This window comes from Homo sapiens, chromosome 1 (genome assembly GCF_000001405.40).
Source record: "Homo sapiens chromosome 1, GRCh38.p14 Primary Assembly".
Lineage (NCBI taxonomy): Eukaryota > Metazoa > Chordata > Mammalia > Primates > Hominidae > Homo > Homo sapiens.
The window spans coordinates 148,401,491-148,425,975 of NC_000001.11; the positions used below are offsets into that span (position 1 = coordinate 148,401,491).

Here is a 24,485-nt window from a genome sequence, read left to right on the forward strand (position 1 = left end):
GCACCCTTCTTCAAATAATGGCTTTCAATGAGCAGACTAGGACGTTTAGGATTGCAAAGGAAACCGATTCCTTTCAAACCTGATTATCTTTGTGATGTGGCACTGTTTGCATATCTTCCTTAAAATGCATTAAAGGCCACTGCACTCCACCCTGGGTGACAAGAGGTGACTGTGTCTCAAAAAAACCAAAAACACTCCCCCCTCACCCCAAAGCATTAGACGTCAAGGCTGGCAGGGATGTCTGTTCTCTTGAAAGTTCAATATCAATTCAATACTTTAAATTCACTGTAGTTTCAATCCATTGGTATGGAAAGTGTTTTGAATTATTGTACTGATTTTTTTCTATCCTCTTTCTGATACGCATGCTAATCGTATGGACCTTGGACATCTACCTTCCTGAACTTTTCTCTCCTGTTTTTACATTATTATTTTGGTTTGTGGGAAATATTCTTGACATTATCTTCAACTTAATTTTTGTTCTTGCTTCTACTATTTTAGTTTAATTTCCAAGTATTTTGATATTGAACTTTCAAGAGAACAGACATCCCTGCCAGCCTTGACGTCTAATGCTTTGGGGTGAGGGGGGAGTGTTTTTGGTTTTTTTGAGACACAGTCACCTCTTGTCGCCCAGGGTGGAGTGCAGTGGCCTTCAATGCGTTTTAACGAAGATATGCACACAGTGCCACATCATAAAGATAACCAGGTTTGAAAGGAATCGGTTTCCTTTGTAATCCTAAACGTCCTAGTCTGCTCATTGAAAGCCATTATTTGAAGAAGGGTGCACGGGCTTCCAGCTGGCTGCCAAGTGGGACCTCCACAGGACACAGATTAAGTACCCGCTTCATTGCGGCAGACGAGGGGCGGGGACAGGAGGGAAAGAAGGGACAGGCATAAGTCACTTCCCCCGCCGGCTCCGACAGCGGGTAGGTCCGCTGAGGGGCGTTGGGTGAGGCGGAAGAGCAGACGGGGATCCGGAAGGCGTTGTCGGTGACATCACGGAGAGGGCGATTTCTATGTAGATGAGGCAGCGCAGGGGCTGCTGCTTTGCCACGAAAGAGTTCCCGTGCCGTGGGAGCAAGTCTGGGACCGCTGGTCGGACCGGAGAGTCGCAGCTGTGTGTTAGGGCTAGGATGGCTCCGGGATGCGCGTGACGCAAGTGACCTTGCGTGTAAAGGGTGAGGAATATGAGGCTGCGGCGGGGCGGAGGGGTGTGAGCTTATACTTATATTTATCTGGCAGAAGAAATGTTATGATCACGAAGGTGGTTTTTCCAGGGCAAGGCTTAGCAATTTTACTCTGGATGTGCTGACCCCTGTGATTTCCCCAAATGAGGGAATCTCGACTACATAATTTGTGGCAGTGGGGAACTGTTTGTGCTTTCCCCTGGATTGCTGTCGTTTTAAAAGTGGATTTTGTTTGCTGTGGAAGCATATACAACGCGTTAGTATAAACTAATAAACAGGTCTTTGTTCCCATCTGTCACTTACTTTCAAAGTAAAGATTTTGTCAGGTAGTGGTTGGTTCTCACGCTTGTAATCTCAGTAGTCTGTGAGATGCATTGATAACTTTATGTTAATACCGCTCGAGCTCTGGAGTTTGATGTCAGTGTGGTCAAATATGGTGGACCCGTCTCTACTAATCTCTTAACTTTTTTTTTTGTTCTATAGAAATAAAACTAAGCTTTTCTTTTCCCTATGGGAGCCCACTGTAAACATTTATTAACAGCAAACAGTTCACTGGAGTGCATGGCTTACTGCAACCTCTGCCTCCTGCCTTCAAGCTATTCTCCTGCCTCAGCCAGAGAATACTCGATCTCCTAGGTAACTGAGATTACAAGCGCAGGCCACTAAAAAATTAGGCCCGGCTAATTTTTTGAATTTTTGGTAGAGACAGGGTTTTACCATGTTGGCCAGGCTGGTCTTAAACTCCTGACCTCAAGTTATCCGCCCGCCTCGGCCACCCAAAATGTTGGGATTACAGGCCTGAGCCACCGCGCCTGGCCTGTTTACAGACTTTACAGACAGATTTTGTTTACAAGCTTTACACGCACGGTTCAGTTGCAGTTAGTGTATATTATGCTGGGCCCAAGACAAGTGTCTTTTTTTTTTTTCCCAGTGTGGCCCAAGGAAGCCAAAATTTAGACAACCCTGCTCTAGAGGGTTTGATTCATGTTTCCACTGGGTTATGCTTATTGCCTGTAATTCCATTTGATATTTTCCAAATTTGATTTTTTAAAAAGCGTTTTCCTGAAGCACCCTAAAGCTTTCCTAATAATATGGGAACTTAAACCAGATTGGATGTGACAAAACCCTGCTGGAATCCTGCAACTTCTAACCTTAATGTTAGATCAAGAAGCAAAACACCCACCAGTCCAAGGGTCAGGGAAGATGAAGATCATGCCTGAGCTGTAACAACGCCCTTCCCAGTATACAAAAGCGTGTAACAGCCACTCGAATTCTATCTTCCAAGTGTCTCCTGTTGCCCAGGCTAACCTAGAGCTATCTAAAGATGGCAAATCTGGGAAATGTGCATTCAGCTTGGCAAAACTGATACATTACAAATCCACCACAGTCCACTTCTTCTCAAAGTGGCATCAATGTGCACCTTCCTCCTCCTCCTTTTTTCTTCCTCTTCCTCATCCTCTTCTTTCTCTTCTTCCTCCTTTTTCCTCCTTGTAAAGCCATACTTAAGGTTCAGATAAAGACAATAGGAAAATCATACTTTTTCTCATTCAGTGAAAATATGCCAACCCTTTCCCCAACAGGATAAAGTCTTTTATTTGTCTTTGAATGATGTTCACTCCTTTTTTAGCTAGATCACATTCCATATTTGCTATCCTGTAACCTAAATATTGAGATTTCTAAAAGTTAATTATTAATGAATATGATAGCGAGGATGATGGAAGACGAGAATTCTCAAGAAAAGTATTGGTTAACATATAACCAAATGTATTCATCTCAAAATAATGAAGAAATACTCCTAACTATTACAAGTCCTCATTTCTGCAACTGTCACTGGCCCTAGCTGGTATTTGTAACTATCTTTACATCTTGCTCTCACAGCCATTTCCTTTGGGCCTGGGCCGGTGGACGTGAGCGTGGGAAAGACCAGAACCCGCGGTGCCCCCCACCGCACTATCCTCGGGTCTCCAGAGGTGGGATCCACTGGGCAGGGGCCTTTGCTGGATTCTAAACCGGCTCTGGGGATACAAGAACAGCTGCCTTTGAGAAACAGTTCAGGTCTCTATATTCCAGACTTCTTAGTAGGACTAAACCCTTAATTTTCACCTGGGAATTCATGGTTCTCCTAAAACCCTGCGGTGGAATGCCTTCCTTCACCGAGCATTTATTGGGCACCTACTAGGTGCTAGGGTGGCTCTGGGCGAAGGGCTGCAGCCTGTGCAAACTCCAGGTCCCTTTCCTGTGGATCCCACCTCTGAGGACCCGAGGGGGACGCAGTGAGGACACCACGGGTTCTGGTCCTTCCCACGCGCGCGTCTGCTGGCCCAGGCCTGGCAGAAATGACTGTGAGTGCAAGGTGTGAGCGGGGCTAAGAATGGGAAAGAGAGTGACTTTCGCCTGAGAAGCTGCAGTTGTCGCCTGTAGAGGGGCCGGCGACTTTTGAGACGGTGAAGAGCAGGCGGAGGAAGCAGTGAAGAGCAGACGGTGAGGAGCAGGTGGACCTTTGGCCGTTGGAGTCCCCCAGCTGACTCTGCCAGAGTAGAACGTCCAAAGTGCCCAAAGACTCGACTCTTGGCTTCATTGTCTCCCGTATTATGGGTTTCTGGAGTGCGCGGGATTGGACAGGCATCAAATACATGAGATTATCTGCAGCCAGAGGTTAAAAAGCCATTTCTGGTATCAGCAAATGAGTTTAAGACACAAGCCATTGGAGTCTCTGTGGCGCAATCGGTTAGCGCGTTTGACTGTTAACTGAAAGGTTGGTGGTGCAAGCCCATCCAGGGATGGCACCTTTTGCTTAGGCAAGATTCACACTTTCTGTTTAAAGACTTTAATCCTGGGAATCCTCCGGACCTCTATTAGCTTTGAATCAGATGCCAAAATATGCTGCGTGAAGGCTCAAGTTCCATGGAAGTTCCTAAAAACAGGAATATTTCAGCAAAAGTAATTTTTCAATAGAGCCTGAGCCTGGGGCTTCAGAGCTTACACCAGAGCCACTGCACCTATTTCATCACCTCCTGAAGCTGGGTTTTTACAATTGCACATTCCTGGAAATCCAAAACTCCCAATAATTGAAAACAAGAAAACCCCAGTCTTCACTTGTGGTGAAGCCTCAATTTCTGGGTTGAAATCTTGGTTCATTCATGACGTGACTTTTAAAACCTTACTGGATTTTCTGTACCTCAATTTCTTCGTCTATAAAAAAGAGCAGCCAGGCGCGGTGGCTCACGCCTGTAATCCCAGCACTTTGAGAGGCCCAGGCAGGTGGATCACCTGAGGTCAGGAGTTCGAGACCAGCCTGGCCAGGGTGGTGAAACTCCGTCTTTAATAAAAATATAAAAATTAGTCAGGCATGGTGGCGGGCGCCTGTACTCCCAGCTACTTGGGAAGCTGAGGCTGGCAGGCACCTGTAATCCCAGCTACTCGGGAAGCTGAGGCAGGAGAATCACTTGAACCCGGGAGGCAGAGGTTGCAGTGAGCCGAGATCATGCCATTGCACTCCAGCCTGGGCAAAAGAGCGAGACTCCTTCTCAAAAAATAAAAATAAATAAAAAAGAAAAAAGAAAGAAAGAAATTTTTCCTGGCACATTTCTATATGTTCCATTCTGGATGACTTGCTCTTCAGGCTTATCTCACAGCTGTTATCATAATATCTCTCTTTACTGCACCATCTTGGGATTTCCATGACCTCTCTCTTGTTAGATCCCCTGCTTCATGGATCTCAAGGGGGTGCATTCCTCACTCACTTCTTCCTTTTGATGATGCATATCCTTCAAGACCTCCTATAAAGTGGTTACCTTAGAAATAAACTTTTTGAGACACTGCATGTCTGAAAATGTCTTTTATACCCATAAAGTTAATTGATATTTTACTAGATAGAGATACAAAAAGATAGGTGGAAATAATTTCTCTCTGAGATTTTTGAAGGCACTGCTTTTTTTTTTTTTGTGACAGTCTCGCCTCGCTCTGTCACCCAGGCTGGAGTGTGGTGGTGGGATCTTGGCTCACTGCAATCTCCACCTCCCAGGTTCAAGCGATTCTCCTGCCTCAGCCTCCCCAGTAGCTGGGACTACAGGTGCCTGCCACCATGCCCGGCTAATTTTTTTATTTTTAGTAGAGATGGGGTTTCACCATGTTGGCCAAGCTGGTTTTGAGAGCGACCACTCCTCATATTGTCTTACACTTAATTTCTTGTTTGCTGAAAAAGTGGAGGTTGAAAGAATGGGCAGAAGTGAAAATCACGCTCAGACAACTGGGTGCCACATTTCAGGCCTGGTTGTTAAAATTCAACTGCTGACCTCACCAATTGTGCTGTCTGTAAATTCCAGACATTGTATAAAAAAGCATTATGAAATTCCCTTTTCTGTCCTGTTTCATTCTGATTACCAGTACATGCAGCCCCCAGTCACGTACCCCTCGCTTGCTCAGTTGATCATGACCCCCCCCCCATGCAGCCCCTTTAGAGTTGTGGGCCCTTAAAAGGGACAAGAATTACTTGTTTGGGGAGCTCGGTTTCTAGGATGTGAGTCTACCGATGCTCCCAGCTGAAAAAAGCTCTTACCTTCCACAATCCGGTGTCTGAGGGATTTTGTCTATGACTCCTGCTACAGTTTCAAACTCCTGACCTCAAGTGATCCGCCTCCCTTGGCTTTGCAAAGTGCTGGGATTACAGGCCTGAGCCACAACAAGAGCTCCCGGCCCTTGTTGTTTACTGCTTTCCATAGTCATTTCTGAGAAAGAGAAAGGTAAGCCTTTTCTGCTCTGAGCTAGAGCTGGTCTGACAAACACCTAGGCCATGGTGTTGTATGGTTAAAACTAAAAATTTCACAACACCAATATCAGACAAAGTTACCCCCTCACTAAACTGAAAGAAATACTATTTCACAATCATATTTGAGCATAAAAAGAACACTGTTCAAACCATAATATGATCAAACATCCCAGCTACTAATAGTGACGGTTAATTATTTTATTTTTTATTTTTTTGTGATGGAGTCTTGCTCTGTCACCAGGCTGGAGTGCAGTGGCACAATCTCAGCTCACTGCAACCTCTGCCTCCTGGGTTCAAGTGATTCTCCTGCCTCAACCTTCCGAGTAGCTGAGACTACAGGCACCTGCCACCACACCCAGCTAATTTTTGTACTTTTAGTAGAGACTGGGTTTCACCATATTGGCCAGGCTGGTCTGGAACTCCTGACCTTGTGATCCGCCCCCGCCCCGCTCAGCTTCCCAAAGTGTTGGGATTATAGGCATGAGCCACTGCACCAGGCCATTTTTTTTTTTTTTTTTTTTTGAGACAGTCTCTGTTGCCCAGGCTGGAGTGCAGGGCCGTCATCTCAGCTCACTGCAACCTCCACCTCCTGCGTTCAAGTGATTCTCCTCCCTCAGCCTCTCAAGTAGCTGGGATTACAGGCATGCCCAACCATGCTTGGCTAACTTTTGTGTTGACTGTTGATTCTTTACCAATTATGTGTTTAGTCTTGCAACCATTTCTCTCACTTTCTAGATAAAAATATCGAGATTCCCAAAGGAAGAATTGTCCCACAATTTCCCCATAGTGTTTGCTGTCTCCTCTGTTGCAATGAGCCAATATACTCAGGTTTGACTATAGGTTTGTTCCTGATGGTTACACACTGGAGCACATCAGCACCATAGAGAAGATGGATGCCGTTCTGATTCTTTGTTATTTGCCTTAAACTTTTCTCCCATCTCCCCTCCCAAAAGCCTATAGAATCTTCTACCTCTTCCTATTAGTTTGAAACTTCATGATCTATTTCCATCCACCATGCTGGGTACTCAGTGTGCTCTTTCAATATGGGAATTTGTATTTTGGAGGTATCATTCCAAAGATGTTTATGCATATACAATTAAAGGTATATATTTATTTCCTGCAACTACCATCACCCTTTTGATACACTTCTGCTGTATAATAAACCATCCCAAGCTTATTGACTTAGAATAGCAATAATTGGCTGGGCGCGGTGGCTCACACCTGTAATCCCAGCACTTTGGGAGGCCAAGGCGGGCAGGTCATGAGGTCAGGAGATCGAGACGATCCTGGCTAACACGGTGAAACCCCGTCTCTACTAAAAATACAAAAATTAGCCAGGCGTGGTGCCGGGCGCCTGTAGTCCCAGCTACTAGGGAGGCTGAGGCAGGAGAATGGCATGAACCCGGGAGGCTGAGGTTGCAGTGAGCCGAGATCATGCCACTGCACTCCAGCCTGGGCTACAGACTGAGATCTCGTCTCTTAAAAAATAAAAAAAGAATAACAATAATTTATTATTTTTAGTGATTCTGTGAGTTGGCTTGGAAATTCTTCTAGTCCAAGCTGATTCATTTGGGGCTGGATGGTCTAGGATGGCCTCACACATCTGGGGTATAGGTGGATTGGTTGGAAAAAGTGGGATGCATGGATCTTTTTCTTCATGTGATCTCTCTAGCAGGCTAGCTTTGGGGGATCTTCAGATCATGGCCTCAGGATTTCAAGTGAAGAAAAAAGCAGGTAATCCTCCCATGTGCAAGCCTCTCTTCTGCCAGGTTTGCGAAGGCACCAACATTTGCCCAAAGCAAGTCATATGGCCAATTCAAGATTCAAAGAGAGGAGAAATAGACTCTCTTGATGAGAGAAGCTGCAAAATATAACCACTTTTTTTTTCAATCTATCACAGTATACCATACTGGACTATCAGTAGCTTCCTCATTTTTCTTTCTTTCTTTCTTTCTTTTTTTCTTTCTGAGATGGAGTCTCGCTCTGTCGCCCAGGCTGGAGTGCAATGGCGACATCTCGGCTCACTGCAAGCTCTGCCTCCCGGGTTTAGCCATTGTCCTGCCTCAGCCTCCCTAGTAGCTGGGACTACAGGCACCCGCCACCACAGCCGGCTAATTTTTTGTATTTTTAGTAGAGACGGGGTTTCACCATGTTAGCCAGGATGGTCTCCATCTCCTGACCTCATGATTTGCCTGCCTCGGCCTCCCAAAGTGCTGGGATTACAGGCGTGAGCCACCGTGCCCAATGAAAACCTTTATTTTCGTGATGGCTGCTTATTTATTTATTTATTTATTTATTTATTTATTTATTTATTTTTCTTTCCCTGCTCTCCCTCTTTTTAAATTTTTATTATTTATTTATTTATTTTTTCTGCAGAGATTTATCCAATTCAGAGGTCTTGTCCCCATAATTTGGAACTTTCCTTTGGATTTGATCAAGTCAGATAGAACTGGTCAAACCCAATGGGGAAAAGAAGGAAACAACAATAAAAACACAAACAGAAAACAAAAAACAGTTCAGAAAATTAGTGATCGCACAATTTATATGATTGCCTAGCACTCTAACGGTAAGAAGAAATTATAATCAGTTGGTTGTTAATCTTTTTTATTTTTTTATTTTTTATTTTTTTTTGAGACAGAGTCTCGCTCTGTTGCCCAGGCTGGAGTGCAGTGGCGCGATCTCGGCTCACAGCAAACTCCACCTCCCGGGTTCACGCCATTCTCTTGCCTCAGCCTGGTTGTTAATCATAACTTTAATCATTTAGGAGAATTTCCAAGACAAAACACAGGTTCAGTTACTTACCTAGGAATGGGGCCCAGGCTGAAGACTGCTCTGTACCATCTTAGAAGCAGGAAAAAACTCAAACTCTCCTTCCCTCCTTCCCTGTTAGAAGTGAACTGAAACCCCAGAAAGGAATTGCCTGCTCTCCATCATCATGGAAGCAGGAAAAGTTGCCTTCATTGTTGGAAGCAAGTAAAACTCCAGAAAATGAGTTGTACAGCAAAATAAAGCTTAGATCTCAATCAAATTTTGGGAAATCAGGGATTCTCTGGAGGGGGTGGATCTCTGAGGCCTCAGCAAATTGTCCTATTGGTTTGAGCAATAAAAATAGCTCAAGCTGGTACCAAGTACAGATAGGAGATTTGTCAAAGGTCAGGGCACCTCCACTCAGAATTCCTTCATGGTTATCAATTGTAAACCAAAAAGTATGTGAGACAGGTCTGAATTGATTTAGAAAGCTTATTTTGGACTCTTACTCATAGGTAATTCTAGTCTTCATAGAGGTATAGCAGCCAGGTGCAAATTGTGGGGGCCTGGAAATAATTTTGGTATAACAGAGATTAAATAATTTGTCTAAGCAATAGCTTGGCAACTTTGGGAGCCAAGTTGTAATCCTGGAAAGATTAATGCTTGGCCTGAGATGTAATAGCCACTCCTCCAGGTTGTCTTTTAATGTGGGAAGTAAGTTCTAGTGTGTTTCTGTAGTGTGGAACTTTTAGAAATAATATTCTTGTCACATTTGACAATACCCATGGCTGATCTAGACAAAATATCATCCAGTCGCTGTTTAGCCCTGATTTGCATATGAGACTTTGTGCTGGTCATCTGGTAACTTTTCACTCGGCAGTGGGGATGAAGTAACTGAAACTCCAGAAAGAAGAGTTATTAGATACCTCAAAAATGATGAAGATATTAGAAGCCCTGGCCTTAGGGGTCCAAGGAAGAGCAAGGTTTGTGGGTAATAATCTGTATAAATCTGATAGGAAGCTATAAGGAGGACTCTTAGGACTATGAGGTGGGTGATGATTAGAGCCTGGATTAATCAAGGGCCTGTGGCTTCTAACACCATCAGTTGCCTGTACTCAGCCACCTTCAGCAGTGCTATCTGGCTCTAGAGAGCCATAGCATTCCAGGAAAGGAGAGAAGGCTGCACAAAGCCCTGATGTTTGTGTCCCCCCATCTAGACAGACATAATAGCATGCAGGGACAAAGCAAAAGAGAAGAGTAGGCAGAGACAATGTGAATCTGTTCACCACATATTGTAAATGCATTTAAAAATATTGTTAGCCCATATTTGCAGGTAGCACTAATTATGAAGTTGTTGGACTGAGGACTTTATTTATTTGTGACTCTCACCATCTTCAAAGTCAGCAATGAAGAGTTTCTTCCTCATTGAATCACTAACGCGTTTTGGATCTCTCTGACTTCCTAGTTTGCTGACCTCTGACCTCTAGATCCAGACTTTAAAGGCCCATGTTATTAGATTAGTCAACCTTTATAATCTCCCCATTTTAAGGTTAATTGTATCTGCAAAATCCCTTTGCCATTCAATGTAATATAATTATGTAATTAGCAACCATAAGAAAGCTGAAGTGACTTTTAAACCAACCCAATTGTCCCATAGAACTGATGTTTACGGTTTCTTTTGAATAAACATAGAAATTGACCCTTTCAGTCTTGAAATTTGAGAAAGTTACATTTGCATTATCTGAGTTCCTTTCTCAGGAAACCAAGCGTTGGGCCCTCCAGATAGTATCAAAGAACTGAAATTTACCAGAGTACCACATCTGGACAATGAAATATCAGACCCCTTATCCCATCAAAATTGCCTAAGTGACCACCTGCTTCCTGCTGACCAATTCCTCTTTCTTACCTCTCCCTAATTCCTGTTTTCCTGCATGTAGTTCCATTTCTTCCCTGCTATCTAAACCCTGAATTTTCATTGGTCAGGAAGATGGATTTGAGACTGATCTCCCATCTCCTAAGTTGTAGTACCTGATGAAAGCCTTCTTTCCTAGCAATGCTAGTTGGCTCAGTGATTGGCTTTCTGTGCAGTGAACAGCAAGACTTAAATCAAACCTCTGGTGTTTCAGTAGCAACTATCCTAATACCAGACAAAATAAACAAGAGACTTTAAGACAAAAAAAGTTACTGAAGACAATGAGGGCTATTTTGTAATGATAAAAGGGTTAATCCATCAGGAAGAGATTACAATTATAAATACACATGCATCTAATAGAGCCTCAAAACACAGGAAGCAAAAACTGACAGAATTGAAGGGAGAAATAGACAATTTAACAATAGTAGATGGAGACTTTAATACCACAACTTTCAATAATGGATACAGCAACTACACAGAAGATCAATAAAGAAATAAAAGATTTAAACAACATAACCTACCAGACATCTATAGAATACTCCACTCAACAAAAACAGAATACACTTCCTCTCAAGTACACACGGGATGTTCTATAGAATAGACCATATGTTAGCTTTTAAAATAAATCTTAATAAATTTAAAAGGACTAAAATCATATAACTTCTGATATATCTCATAAACTAATACTATCACACACTATAGTTTCAGGTTAGCATGTAGGGTATGCAGTTTGTTGGTCCTGCTTCCTTCTGTTTGTCATGAATGTGGAGGTGACCATGATTACACATGTGTAGGCCAGTAGCCCAGGAAAGTCAGGCAGCTGAAGGGAAAGGACAGATATTCCATAAGAGTCTCCCTATCTCAGTCTCAAAAAACCAGGGAGGAATTGATACATAGGAAGTGAAGAGTTACATCAGGGGATGACTTCTCTTCTGCCTATCTATGCCTGTCTTTAAAACCTCAGTTTCTATCCCACTAAACCCCATTGCACAGGAAAACTGTTGATCACCGCCAACCACCAGACTCATTAACTTGATTTTTACCATGCTTTGTCTGAGAATATATCCTCAGGCCAATGCAAATCATTAGTGTTCCATAAAAACTGCTTCAAACACATAAAATAGTAACAGTTTATAAGTCATTCCAAATTAGGTGGCAACTACATGTATTTAAAGAGATATACATAAATTATTTCAGCAATTGTGACAAATTGGAAAGAAAGCATGTGGAGTTAGAATGAAAATCATAAGTGACAAGCACAAAATATGTATACAGAGATTATAACACTAAGCAAACCACACATAGAAGAGGAGAGTGGGGTTAGGAGTTATGAATATCAAGCTTGTCCTCAAGTTAAGTGAAAAGCCAGCATGGGCCAGGTGTGGTGGCTTATGCCTGTAATTCCAATACTTTGGGAGGCCAAAGTGTGAGAATAACTTGGGCCCAGGAGTTTGAGACCCACCTGGGCAACATAGTGAGACCCCATCTACACAAACACACACACACAAAAACACACACACACGCACACAATAGCTGAGTGTGATGACATGTGCCTACAGTCCCAGCTATTCAGGAGGCTGAGGCAGGAGGATCACTTAAGCCTCGGAGTTTGAGGCTGCAGTGAGCTGTGATCATGCCATTGCACTCCAGGTTGAGCAGCAGAGCTAGACCCTTTCTATTAAAAAAAAGCAAAAAAACAAAAAACTAACATGCTTCCCCAGTGGGGGAAAAGATGTCAGTATAACATTGGTTTGCAGCAAGAAGTATATTAAGATATTGATCAAAATCCTTTTATTATTTATTTTGTTTTTATTTTTTGAGACAGGGTCTCACTTTGTCATCCAGAATGGAGTGCCGTGGCATGATCTTGGTTCACTACAGCAAAACACACCTGGACCCAAGCTTGCAGTGAGCAATCATGTCTCACTGCAAGCTCCACCTCCTGGGTTCACACCATTATCCTGCCTCAGCCTCCCAAGTAGCTGAGACTACAGGCACCTGCCACCACACCTGGCTAATTTTTTGTATTTTTAGTAGAGACGAGGTTTCACCGTGTTAGCCAGGATGGTCTCGATCTCCTGATCTCATGATCTGCCTGCCTCAGCCTCCCAAAGTGCTGGAATTACAGGCATGAGCCACCGTGCCTAGCCCTATGCCTGGCTAATTTTTTAAATTTTTTTGTAGAGGCAGGGTTTCGTCGTGCTGCCCAGGTTGGTCTCAAACTCCTGAGCTCAAGTGATCCAACAACCCTGGTCTCCCAAAGTGGTGGGATTACATGTGTGAACCACTGCACCTGGCCTCTAAATCGATATAAATCAATTATTCACACACTGAGAGGAATATTCAGGATTTTTTTCTTATAATATAAATGATGTGAAAATCTGGAGAACCAAAGAAGAATGCCAAGACTATCTAAAAGTGTTAAATTTTTCATTAGGAAGAAAATGACTTCATGATAGTAATTAAGACAGTGATAGAACTTGGGGAAATATGTATTCCTTGATGTTTTCTATGCATTTGCAATAATAAACAATGAAAATATGGTTGAATTTTAGAAAGAGATAGGCCTGTGGTATTGTCACAAGGGTATACAAATACTGAGATTGACTTGTTGAGGCAGTGGTCTCCATTGGTGGTGACCTTCAGAAGAGACCTGTGTTTCCACATGGCCTAGACACCTGGAAGGCAGAGATCCTAACATTCCATGACACCCCCACCTTCTAATTCTGATTGTGACTCCAGACCATTACCTGGCACTGGGTCTTACCTCTGGCATTCCTATCAGAGCCTGAACCACAGACAGTACCTTAGAGTCTAAGCTTAGGTACCTTTGTCTTGTTTTTGTGGCTAAGGATTCTCAGAGTTGCGGGATGCTGATGAAATTTATCCCAAAAGTAAGTTATGAATCAGATCTGCTTTCTTTTGACTCATTTAAATCCTTTGTTTAATGTAAAGAAACTTTATTGAGGTATAATTTACAAACTATAAAATTTACCCATTATAATTGTACAGTTGAATAATTTTTAGTAATTTACCCAAGTAGTGCAACCATTACCATAATCCATGCATTTGTTTTTAATTTATTATTTGTCTGGGTTCTGATTCTACTTCCTCAACAAGCTACAGCATGGCAGTATCTGCCACCACTTGTTTTGGTCCAAGGGCAGAAATCAGCATCCTGGAAACCAATCAGTACTTGCGCTCTGAACTGGAAAAGTGCAAACAGAACTTCCAAGACCTCACAGAGAAATTCCTGACATCCAAAGCTACTGCCTACTCCCTGACCAATCACCTGCAGAAATATAGTAGGTCCCAAAGGGGCATGGTCACCAAAGTGATAAATGATTGCCCATCTTTCCTCTGTGAAATGAAACACTGCGGACTTTATTCTCTATCAAAATTAATTTTATGCTAACTACACTCCCAGAAAGGTAGAAGTGGGCCTTTTACTCTCAATTTGCCAAGGACAGAAAAACTGAGGCACAAAGGTGTAAAGTTTGCAGGGCGAGTGTAGTGAGGAATAGAGACTAAAACCTTGGTTTAGGCCTGAAACTGTCTTTCCCCTCTCAGCAATGAATATCAGATTCTACAAACATGTAACATCACTGTTGGTTAAAACATCTCAGGATTCGATTTAAACTTTTTTAAGAGCGCCCATTTGCAAAGCACTGTGCCAACAGCATCAGGGATGAAAGAAGTAATAGTATACCCTATCTGCCTTGAAGGAACTTAAAACTACCTATTCTCAACTGAGTCACAGATATGTGGAGATGCAAACTTCAATAGCAGACACGGAGAAAAATCTTTATGATACCTGGATCAAGATTCTCTTCCCACATAAGTTCAGATAAGCCATTCCTCATGCTCTGGTTAGATTGAGGGTATTTCCAGAAAAATCAGAGACTTTGTAACACCCTTTCTGTCTCTCTCTGAGTATCAACTTTACAGACAGCAAGCAACTGCAGGTGGACATCCAGGATCAGAGCTATGAGACATATGGCCAAAATGAGAACAAGGCCAAGTGGAACAGACTGCCATTCTCAATAGAAGGCCAGGCCAGGTTAGGGGCTGGCCCCTTCCTCTCCACAGTTAGCTCTCACATTTTTAAATCCACTGTAAAATCCCAAACATGTTACTAATAGTCAGGGAAGGGAAGCTGTAATGACAAGGAAACGTGGGAACAAGGGCATGAGAGGAACAGGGATATTAGAAGAGGATTCTGGTTAACATAGAAATTGAGTTTGTTTTCCAATTTCTACAATTATTTTAAAATACATCATTGTGTGGGGGGTGGCTAAAAGTTGCTGTCTAACTTACTGTCATAGAAAAGTAAAGCCAAAAGCCCACTTATTAAAGAAGTGAAAAGATGAGCTTTGGTGTGTGGAAAAACTAGTTTAAAAAAAAAAACCCTTCACTCATTATAATTGTAGGAAAAAAATTTCTCAAGCTAGAGAAGAAGAAAGATATTACCTAAGACCCTAATATAAAGGTATTATTGTGCAGTGATTAAAGAGCATATACCCTAGGGCCAAATTTCCTGGGTTCAAATCTAACTTATCATCACTGTCCCTCAGTTTTCTCATCTGTAATGGTAATAGAGTAGGAACTACCTCTTTGGATGGTGGTGACGATCATATGATGATAATTCTTAAAAACCTACTGCAACAGTACCGTGACAAACACTATGTGTTGGTTTTCCCTTTAAAACACCACCTACTAGCTTTTGGGCATATATCATTTGGATCTTTCTCCTCTATATACAGTTTTACACAGCTGTATACAGATAAATGTTTAAATCTTTGAAATATTTTGGGATTATTGAAACTCCTGACACAGGAGGGCCATCAGTCCTACCATTCTTAGTATCTTCCCAAACACACAGGAAGTCATTATTTCATGCCCTTATGTTCATGTTTTACTTAAGAGGCTGTAAGGCTTGGTAAATTGGCCTTAAGATTTGAAGTCATGGCTGGGTGCATTGGCTCACTTACTGCAATCCCAGTACTTTGGGAAGCCAAGGTGGGTGGATCATTTGCAGTCAGGAGTTTGAGAGCAGCCTGGCCAACATGGTGAAGCCCTGTCTCTACTGAAAATACAAAAACTAGCAGGGTGTGGTGGGGCACACTTGTAATCTCAGCTACTTGGGAGGCTGAGGCAGGAGAACAACCTGGGAATCAGAGGTGCAGTGAGCCGAGATTGTGCCACTGCCCTCCAGCCTGGGCAAAAAAGTGAGATTCCATCTCAAAAAAAAAAAAAAAAAAAAAAGAAAAGAAAAGAAAAAGATGTGGCGTCAGATCTCAGGGGATGTGAATTCTGACTGCCTCATTCCAGTTGAATCATCTTGTCAAGTGATTTTATCAGCCTGTGGGCTTTTCTTTCCTCATCTCTAAAACAGGGAGTAGTTGAGAGACTGAGGAATAAAGATATGGAAATCCCAGTGTAAAGCCTCGTACTGGGGATACTTTTATCCTTGAGATAGACCCTGCCTCCTGCTCTGCAGGCAGTGACCACAGCAGCATGGCCAGCCTTCCATGATGCAGGCATGTCTGTCTTTTCTCAGAGTGTGAAGAGTGCAAAGACCTTATAGAATCTGTGCTGGAGGAGGAGGTGCAGTTTCAGGAGAGGGAGCTGGCCGAATTGCCGAGGTCAGCTGCAAGGCTCCGGTAAGGAGGTACCTCTGTGGGAAGTGCATAAATACTGTTTGAAGTAGGGCAGCTCAGGCTGGTAGAACAAAGAGCAAATTTGTGCAAGGAGAAGGGCAGAAATGTATGACTCAGGCACAGAACTAGACTAAGACACAATGAGGCTATGGTCTAGTTAGGTCTCTAGGGTTTTCCATTAAATAGCATATTAGTAAAATGGAGACAGCTGCCTGCATTGGAATACTAGCAATGTGGCTTCTATTTGTGTGTCCTTGGTCAAATTTACTTCACTTTTCTGCGTGTCATTAACCTAGGCTACCTCATTTATAAAATGCAAATACTGACAGTATCTACTCAGAGGGTTATGAAGATTAAATGCACAATTGCAAGTAGTTAGAACCATCTCTAACACATATAAAACTCTGAACAACTATTTTCTGTAATTATTATATTTGTTCCCATTTATAGATGTGGTGATTGTCATTAATATTTTCTATAAGAGATATTTTCAAACTTTCCAAAGTGCCTTTCATGATAACAATGTTTCTCCTCCAAACTTTTTAAAAAAGTATTATACTAGGTGGAGTATTAACTGGTAGGGCTATTGGGTAGATAGATGATTGAGCAGCTGTTGTGTGGAAAATGAATTATTAATTCGCTCAGGACCAGCATTGACTATCCTTAGAGGGTTTCAGACATAAGGTAGATTGTAGCATTCGAAACTTCTTTTAATCCTTTGTTGAAATGAAATCATAGAAGCTCAAATTTCTAAAACTCACCAAAGCAGAGATATTTGATTGAAGGTGGGATAGGTCTGGAGCCCCTATTTCTCCCCAGTATGTCTTTACTTCCCCTGACACTTTCTAGTAACTCTAAGAAATAGAGTTTGAAAGAGGACCTGCAGATAACTACTTAGAAGACTGGTGGGGAGAAAATTCAAGCATTAGATGGGTTAGATGACTGTAAATGTTCAGTCTAGCTCTGGGATTACATGGTTCTAAACATTAACTGAATAACTACTTGTATGTGTACATACTACCGGGTGCTGTAAGTTGGGTAATAGGTAGCACTATCTTTAGACTCACAGAGCTCACACTCTACATTGGAACCCATGTGTATTAGTCTACTCTGACACTGCTATAAACATATATCTGAGATTGGTGATTTATAAAGAAAAGAGGTTTAATCGGCTCATGGTTCTGTGGGCTGTACAGGCTTCTGCTTCTGGGCAGGCCTCAGAAAACTTACAATCATTGCAGAAGTCAAAGGGGAAGGAGGCATGGTCTTCACATGGCCAGAGCAGGAGAGAGGGAGAGAGCAAAGAGGGAGGTGCTACACTTTCAAACGACCAGACCTCATGAGAACTCACTCACTATCATGAGAACAGCAAGGGGGAAATCCACCACCATGGTCCAGTCACTATCCAGCAGGTCCCTGGTTGGATTACAATCCAACATGAGATTTGAGTGGGGACACAGAGCCAAACCATATCACCATGAGAAATATTTAAACAATAATTAGAAAAAAAATAAATCCCCACAGAGTAATGAAATTACTACTCAGAACTTTACTTTTTTTCTTTTTTTGAGATGGAGTCTTACCCTGTTGCCCAGGCTAGAGTGCAGTGGTGTGATCTCAGCTCACTGCAACCTCCACCTCCCAGGTTCAAGTGATCCTCCTAGGTCAGCCTCCCCAGCAGTTGAGAGTATAGGTGCACACCACCACACCAGCTAATTTTTGTATTTTTAGTAGAGATGGGGTTTCGCCATGTTGGCCAGGCTGGTCTCAAAACTCCTGACCTAAGGTGATCTGCCTGCCTTGGCCTCCCAAAGTGCTGAGATTACAGGCGTGAGCCACTGTGCCCGGCCAGAACTTTAGTTTTAACTGCCTTCTTACTGATTATAGTCTATCTTCATGTCATTCAGAAGAACACTGCCCCTCTTGACCTTTTCACTGATTTTTCTTTTTAACTTTCAATTAATACTAGAGATACCGGCCCAACAGTTTTGAACTTGGCTTTTTTTTTTTTTTTTTTTTTTTTCTGCCAGTTACTGCATATGAAAAGATACTTGGGCTAAAGTGGGGAACCAAAGGGGCATCTTTTTAAAGGAAATTTAGTAAAATAACAGACAAACCCAAGGCTGCCTCTTCATTCCTTCTGCCACAGGCAAGTCACACAACTTGTACAGGAATTCATCTTGGGCCAGGTGCAGTGGCTCATGCCTGTAATCCCAGCAGTTTGGGACACCGAGGTGCATGAATCATTTCAGGTCAGGAGTTCAAGACTAGCCTGGCCAACATAGCAAAACCCCATCTCTACAAAAAATATATAAATTATCCTGGCATGGTGGTGGGCATCTGTAGTCCCAGCTACTTGGAAGGCTGAGGCAAGAGAATTGCTTGAACCTGGGAGGCGGAGGCAGAGGTGGAGGTTGCAGTGAACCAAGATCACATCACTGCACTCCAGCTTGGGCAACAGAGTGAGACCCTGTCTCAAAAAAAAAAGAAAAAAAGAATTCAACTTGGGAGTTCCTTACAGGGATTCTAAGAGATCTCTCCTCTGAAACTTCTATAACCTGTTATTCACTACATTCCCTCATACATTTTACTCTTCTTTCCCACCTTAGGATACATGATCCCTTAATTCAGGCTCAGGCTGAAGAACTGACCCACTTACGACAGAAGACACAGGAAGGGAGAGGTGTCTGCTACCTTTTTACCCAGCATGTGAAGAACACAGTCAAGTCTTTTGAGGGCCTTCTCAGGAACACTGGCATTGCCTACTACCAGAGACAGAGATTCTGTGAGCAAATGGTACAAGGAAGCCAGCTGACAGAGATCCTTGTCAGAAAACTTGTCACAGGTAAGTTGGCTACAGGCTCTGAAGACCCTTAGCTCCTCCCAAGTGTCCCAAAGTGGGGAGAAAAAATGCAAACTTATCTCCATTGTAGATTTTATTTTAGTTTTGACTATGGTCCTTAATCTGCATTCTATTGTTTTCTCTTTAGAGCACTCAGGTAATCACTTTTCATATTCTTTCAAGAATTCTAAGTTTTGTTTTTTATTTTGAGACAGAATCTTGCTCTCTTACCCAAGCTGGAGTGCAGTGACACGGTCTTGGCTGACTGCAATCTGTGCCTCCTGGGCTCAAGCAATCTTCCCACCTCAGCCTCCCAAGTAGCTGGGACTACAGGTGTGTGCCACCACACCTGGCTAATGTTTGTATTTTTTGTAGAGATAGGGTTTCTCCATGTTGTCCAGGCTTGTCTTGAACTACTGAGCTGAAGTAATCCACCTGCTTTGGACTCCCAAAGTGCTGGGATTACAGATATGAGCCACTGTGCCTGGCCTGAGAGTTCTTAGTTTCAATCAGTAAGAGAGGTAGAGTATAGTGGATTACTTCATCTTGATGAGCATAAGAACTCACCTTCATTTCTGGAAGATGTTTTCACTGGATGTAGGATTCTAGTTGACAGTTTTTGTTTTAAAAAAGTGTTTGAAAAGTGATATTCCGCTGTCTTCTGGCTTACACTGTTCCAACAAGAAGTCTGCCATAATTCTTATTTCTGTTTCTCTGTACATAATATGTCTTTTTTCTCTGGATGCTTTTGAGATTTTCTATTTATCACTGGTTTGAAGCAGTTTGATTAAGATAAGACCTTGTATAGTTTTCTCTTTTACATATTGTTCTACTTTATTTAGTTTCTTGCATCTGCATGTTTATAGTTCTCATCAAATTTGAATAATAATGACATATATAGTCTTACCTATGGCATATACAATATATTATATTTCGCATATATACGGCAAATATATATAATGTATATTCTATTCTTTCTCTCTATCTTCTCCTTTAAAGACTCCAGTTATATTTGTATTAGCTGCTTTGAAATTTTACCACAGCTGACTAATGGTCTGTTCATTTTTGTTGTATCTTTTCTTTCTCTCCGTTTCTTTCTATTTCCATGTCTTGGAATTGATTAATCTTTCTTCAGCAGCATCTAATCTGCTGTTAATCCTATCCAGTGTATTTTCATCTCAGACTTTATTTTTCATCTAAATTTAATTTATGTCTTTTTTTTAAGGTCTTCTATGTAACTCTTCATCATTTCATATTTTCCTCTAGCTTCTTTATTTTATTTTATTCTATTTTTTGAGACAGAGTCTCGCTCTGTTGCCCAGGCTGAAGTGCAGTGGTGAGATTTTGGCTCACTGCAACCTTCACCTCCTGAGTTCAAGTGATTCCTGTGCCTCAGCCTCCTGAGTAGCTGGAATTACAGGCACATGCCTCCACACCCAGCTAATTTTCATATTTTTCAGAGAGACGGGGTTTCACCACATTGGCCAGGCCGATCTCAAACTCCTGACCTCATGTGACCCACATTGGCCTGGCAAAGTGCTGGGATTACAAGCATGAGCCACCACACTGGCCTAGCTTCTTTAATACAAGGTATACAGTTATATTTGTTTCAATGTGCTTATCTACAGATTCTCTCATCTGTGTCCTTTTTATTGTTTTTTAATTCTCACCTGATGTGTCTTTTCTAAGTCAGTTTAAGTAGATTGATTTTTTTCCCCCTTCTTATCATGGATTACAGTTTTCTGTTTCTCTGCATTCCTAACATTATTTTATTTGGGGTTAGACATTGAGCATTGTAACTTATTGGGTGCTGGATTTTTTTGCATTTTGTGTTAAAATTCTTTGAGCTTTGTTTTGGTATACAATAAAGTTACTTAAAAACAATTTTCATCTTTCCAAGCTGGCTTTTTAATTTTTTTTAGGCAGGATAAGAGCAGCTATTAGTCAACTGCTATTTTCTTTCCCACTATGGAGGCAAAATGACCTTTAAGAAAATAGACCTTATTTTTTAGAGTAGTTTCAGATTCACAGCAAAATTGAGCAGGAAGTACAGAAAGTTCCCATATACCCCCTGCCTCCACACATGCATAGCCTCCTAGACTATCAACATCTCTCTCCAGAATGGCACATTTGTTACAGTTGATGAACTTACATTGACATGTCATTATCACACAAAGTCCATAGTTTACATTGGGGGCAATACTCTTTTGAAGATTCTAAGCCAGTGATCTCCCACAGATTTGGCACCAGGGACTGGTTGCATGAAAGACAATTTTTCCACAGACAAGGTGGGGGTGGGGTGGTAGGGGTTGGGAATTGGGTGGTTTCAGTATGAAACTGTTCCACCTCAGATCATCAGGCACTAGTTAGAGTCTCATAAGGAGCATGCAACCTAGATCCCTGGCATGTACAGTTCACAATAGGGTTTGTGCTCCAATGCTAATCTAATGCCATCGTTGATCTGACAGGAGGCTGAGCTCAGGCGGTAATGCTTTCTCGCTGGCTGCTCACCTCCTGCTGTGCGGTCCCATTCCTAACAGGCCATGGACCAGTGCTGGGGGTTTGGGACTCCTGTTCTAACCAATGCTCCCTCTATTAAAAGGGATTTTCACACTAGCTGATGGAAACACCAAGTGTTGCAAGCTCTGTGTGAGCTACAGAGATTATTCCTTTTGGGAAGTTCTTTGCCCTGCTTTGCATAATTTCCTCAAATACATGTACTAATAAGTACTTAGCTGAAGATTGAACACAGATATCCAAGGCATTCTCTCTGTGCAGCAACCTATTCTCTAGTCTGTCCTGTGATGTCTAGCCACCCTGACTTCTTCAAACTTACTACCAGGCTCTGCCTGGGTCCTCCTTCCCTGCTCTGCAGTTGACAAACTCAGGCAGCAAACTGGAGCAATCATAGGGCTCATCTCTTCTATTTTCTCTCTCTCAGGGATCAATGTACTGTACTGCACTATATCCAATGTTGAAGCTAGAGTTTAAAATACTTTTTCCAGTTTCTTAGTTGTTTAAGGTGGAGGACAAATCTAGTCCCTATTACTCCAACTTGGCCAGAAGCAGAAGTCTCCATTCCATCTTTGTGGTCAGAAAGAACAGTATGACAGAAGGCAGCTTGTTAGAATAGAAAGATCCATGGACTAAGAATCAGAATTACCTAGGCTCTAGTCTCAGCACTGTATTTACTAACTTTGTGCAAGTGATTGATCCCTCCTGAATTTCTGTTTCCTCATTTGTAAAGTGAGTCAAATCATAATTCCACGGCTGCTGTACAGATCAGTTGAAGTAGTATCTTAATGTTCATGAGTGTATTTCTCTTTCAGGGTTATTTATTTATTTATTTATTTTCAGGTCCCAATAGACTGTCCAAATCTTTTGGGGTTAGTTCAGGCTCTGTATATAGTAGAAGCTGGTGTTAGAAAAGTTGATTTATACCGGAATATTTTTCACAGAATCACCCCCAATTCTCACCAACAAACTGAGAAGAAAAAAAAAAGAATTACCCCCAAGAACATCTGAGGAAGCACAACAGGGACAGACTTGAAGGCACCTGGGCAGTCCTCTGGTTTTGGAGTAGAGGTAGGACAGGGCTATTTGTCCTCTCAGAGACTGGAGCAGGTTCTGTGTGTGAGTAGCTATGGGACAAACAGTCATGGTCTGGCAAACAGCCTGTGGCAGGAAGGAAGGTTACAACTGGAGAAGTCCAAAGGGCAGCCAGGCAAGTATTCTTTGAGCTGGGGAACAAAAGACATTTTAAACTTTTTGCTCTGCTTCAGGCAGCTGATGTCATGGTGATGATTCACCACATCAGGAACACCCTGTCCAGTGGGCTCAGGCAAGCCTGCCAGGCCACTTCTCTAGAGACACCACCTGAGGCCTCCTGCAATAAATCTCACAGAGTATTCTGAACACACATGTAAAGTGTTATGTCCCTGATCATATAGGCCCCATGTGTGCAATGTGTGAAATGGGACTTGCCTAATTTCTGACTAGCTCTTTCTAATTTTGGTTTGCAGAAAATCACAACGGTAAGAAAAATGAAGACAGGCAAAAGCCACTGGCTCCTAGGTAACTCTATATGATGAAGGGGCTGATAATGGACTGACCAAATCTAGAGAGGATTCCAGAAGCAAGGACTCAAGAGGTTAAAGGTCCCAGATATAGAAAAAGCAGAAACTGCTGATTGTTCCTTTTTTTGTTGACTGATTATACAATGTGTCCTTTTAAAAATGGTTCTCTGTTCTCTTTGCAGTTCTTGTATTGGTTCCTAGTTCCTACTAATTTCTCACACTTAGTTAACTAGTCAGTCTTACTGAAAAGTAAACTAACCAGGGATCCCTGGTTTCTGTATCTTTCAAACCTATAGGGTTACAAACCAAAGTGAGATGCCTATCTGGTTTCTGCACAGTTGTCCTGAATTATGTTGGCAGATATTTTATACCTAGAAATTCACCTTGAAAAATAAATTGAAACCATACCAAGTATTTAGAGCTAGGGGTCTAAAGTCTGCAAAAGCCCTGGGAGGTTGCGTTGTCTCAAGAGCCAGTATTCAATGGACCACTCCACATCATAGTAAATAAAATTTGAACACAGCATTTTGAAGCCAATAGTATGGGTCTCTGTGTGTCCTGTGTGCCCTGAGTGTATTTTAGAGTAGCTGTTGAGTCTGCTGCCTTATCTGTGTGTTATGAGGTCAATGCACTGATCACTTGCTGTTTTCACTTCTATACTAACTCTAGGCACACTCTACTCCCGGTCAAAAGTGGATTGTATATGTCCTCTTTGATGTGATGGTCCCTTTGGTTTTGGTGCCTCTTCCATGAGCTTCAGATCAGAACTAGCTATGTGGTTCCAGGCTGCCTTGGTTTCATCCCTTGTCTTGCCTACTCCACCAGGCTCAGGAGGGACATCAAGGAGGAAGAAATGGATAAAGTCCTGGAGGGACTTCAAACAGTATTTGACCCATTCCAGCCGCCATGACTCCCACCAGCTTCGCAGCAGCAATGCCTTCCTCTTTGATGCACAGGAAGGCCCCTCGGCTGTGGATATAGCCAGTGAGTGCTCCTTTGATAAGAAAAATAAAGCTCCATCAATCTCTCAGTAGCTCCTACATTCTACATGCTCACCACCTCTGTCTAAACTGAGAGATGTTATTCTCTGCAGGCAGGCCCTAAACATTCACTTTAAAAAAGTGATTAGGCTGAACACAGCTCTGGGATCAAGTCTCAAGTACAGGTCCCTGGTGGGTCAGGTAATTTGCTCTGTTCCTGTCCTCACCTCAGTCCCTCTGGCCCCAACTGGCATCTGCAAGCCAGTATACTCAAAGCTGGCCAGAATGAAGAGAGTGAAGAGATTATGGCAGACT

At 42.4% G+C, this 24,485-nt stretch overlaps 1 non-coding gene and 1 pseudogene across 11 annotated transcripts in view, besides 4 other annotated features; both read left to right on the top strand.

The window, feature by feature from the left end:
• Positions 525 to 1,230: an enhancer, noted in NCBI's record as "NANOG-H3K27ac hESC enhancer chr1:143686659-143687364 (GRCh37/hg19 assembly coordinates)". NCBI's record gives its function as "activates a minimal SCP1, AML or CMV promoter by ChIP-STARR-seq in naive H9 embryonic stem cells {active_cell/tissue: H9 hESC(naive)}" and the evidence as "EXISTENCE:reporter gene assay evidence [ECO:0000049][PMID:30033119]".
• Positions 856 to 1,085: an enhancer, noted in NCBI's record as "active region_1644". NCBI's record gives its function as "activates an Ori minimal core promoter by ATAC-STARR-seq in GM12878 lymphoblastoid cells {active_cell/tissue: GM12878}" and the evidence as "EXISTENCE:reporter gene assay evidence [ECO:0000049][PMID:35858748]".
• The window catches only part of PDE4DIPP6 (PDE4DIP pseudogene 6), a 30,041-nt pseudogene continuing 6,571 nt past the window's right edge, over positions 1,016 to 24,485 (top strand). For 2 of the 10 annotated variants that reach the window (NR_168365.1, NR_168369.1), the window contains exons 1-5: positions 13,324 to 13,506; positions 18,882 to 19,117; positions 22,573 to 22,699; positions 23,137 to 23,188; positions 24,016 to 24,174. The product of NR_168365.1 is annotated as a PDE4DIP pseudogene 6, transcript variant 5 (transcript). Of the gene's footprint in view, positions 1,176 to 13,323; positions 13,507 to 16,172; positions 16,276 to 18,881; positions 19,118 to 20,574; positions 20,705 to 22,572; positions 22,700 to 23,136; positions 23,189 to 23,859; positions 24,175 to 24,485 lie in introns of those variants that run through there. The other 8 variants (NR_168366.1, NR_168368.1, NR_168364.1 and 5 more) reach the window with 8 other exon arrangements.
• Positions 1,116 to 1,165: an enhancer, noted in NCBI's record as "active region_1645". NCBI's record gives its function as "activates an Ori minimal core promoter by ATAC-STARR-seq in GM12878 lymphoblastoid cells {active_cell/tissue: GM12878}" and the evidence as "EXISTENCE:reporter gene assay evidence [ECO:0000049][PMID:35858748]".
• Positions 1,176 to 1,225: an enhancer, noted in NCBI's record as "active region_1646". NCBI's record gives its function as "activates an Ori minimal core promoter by ATAC-STARR-seq in GM12878 lymphoblastoid cells {active_cell/tissue: GM12878}" and the evidence as "EXISTENCE:reporter gene assay evidence [ECO:0000049][PMID:35858748]".
• On the top strand, positions 1,225 to 1,385 carry RNVU1-3 (RNA, variant U1 small nuclear 3). The gene has a single exon (NR_104081.1). It is a non-coding gene; the product is annotated as an RNA, variant U1 small nuclear 3 (small nuclear RNA).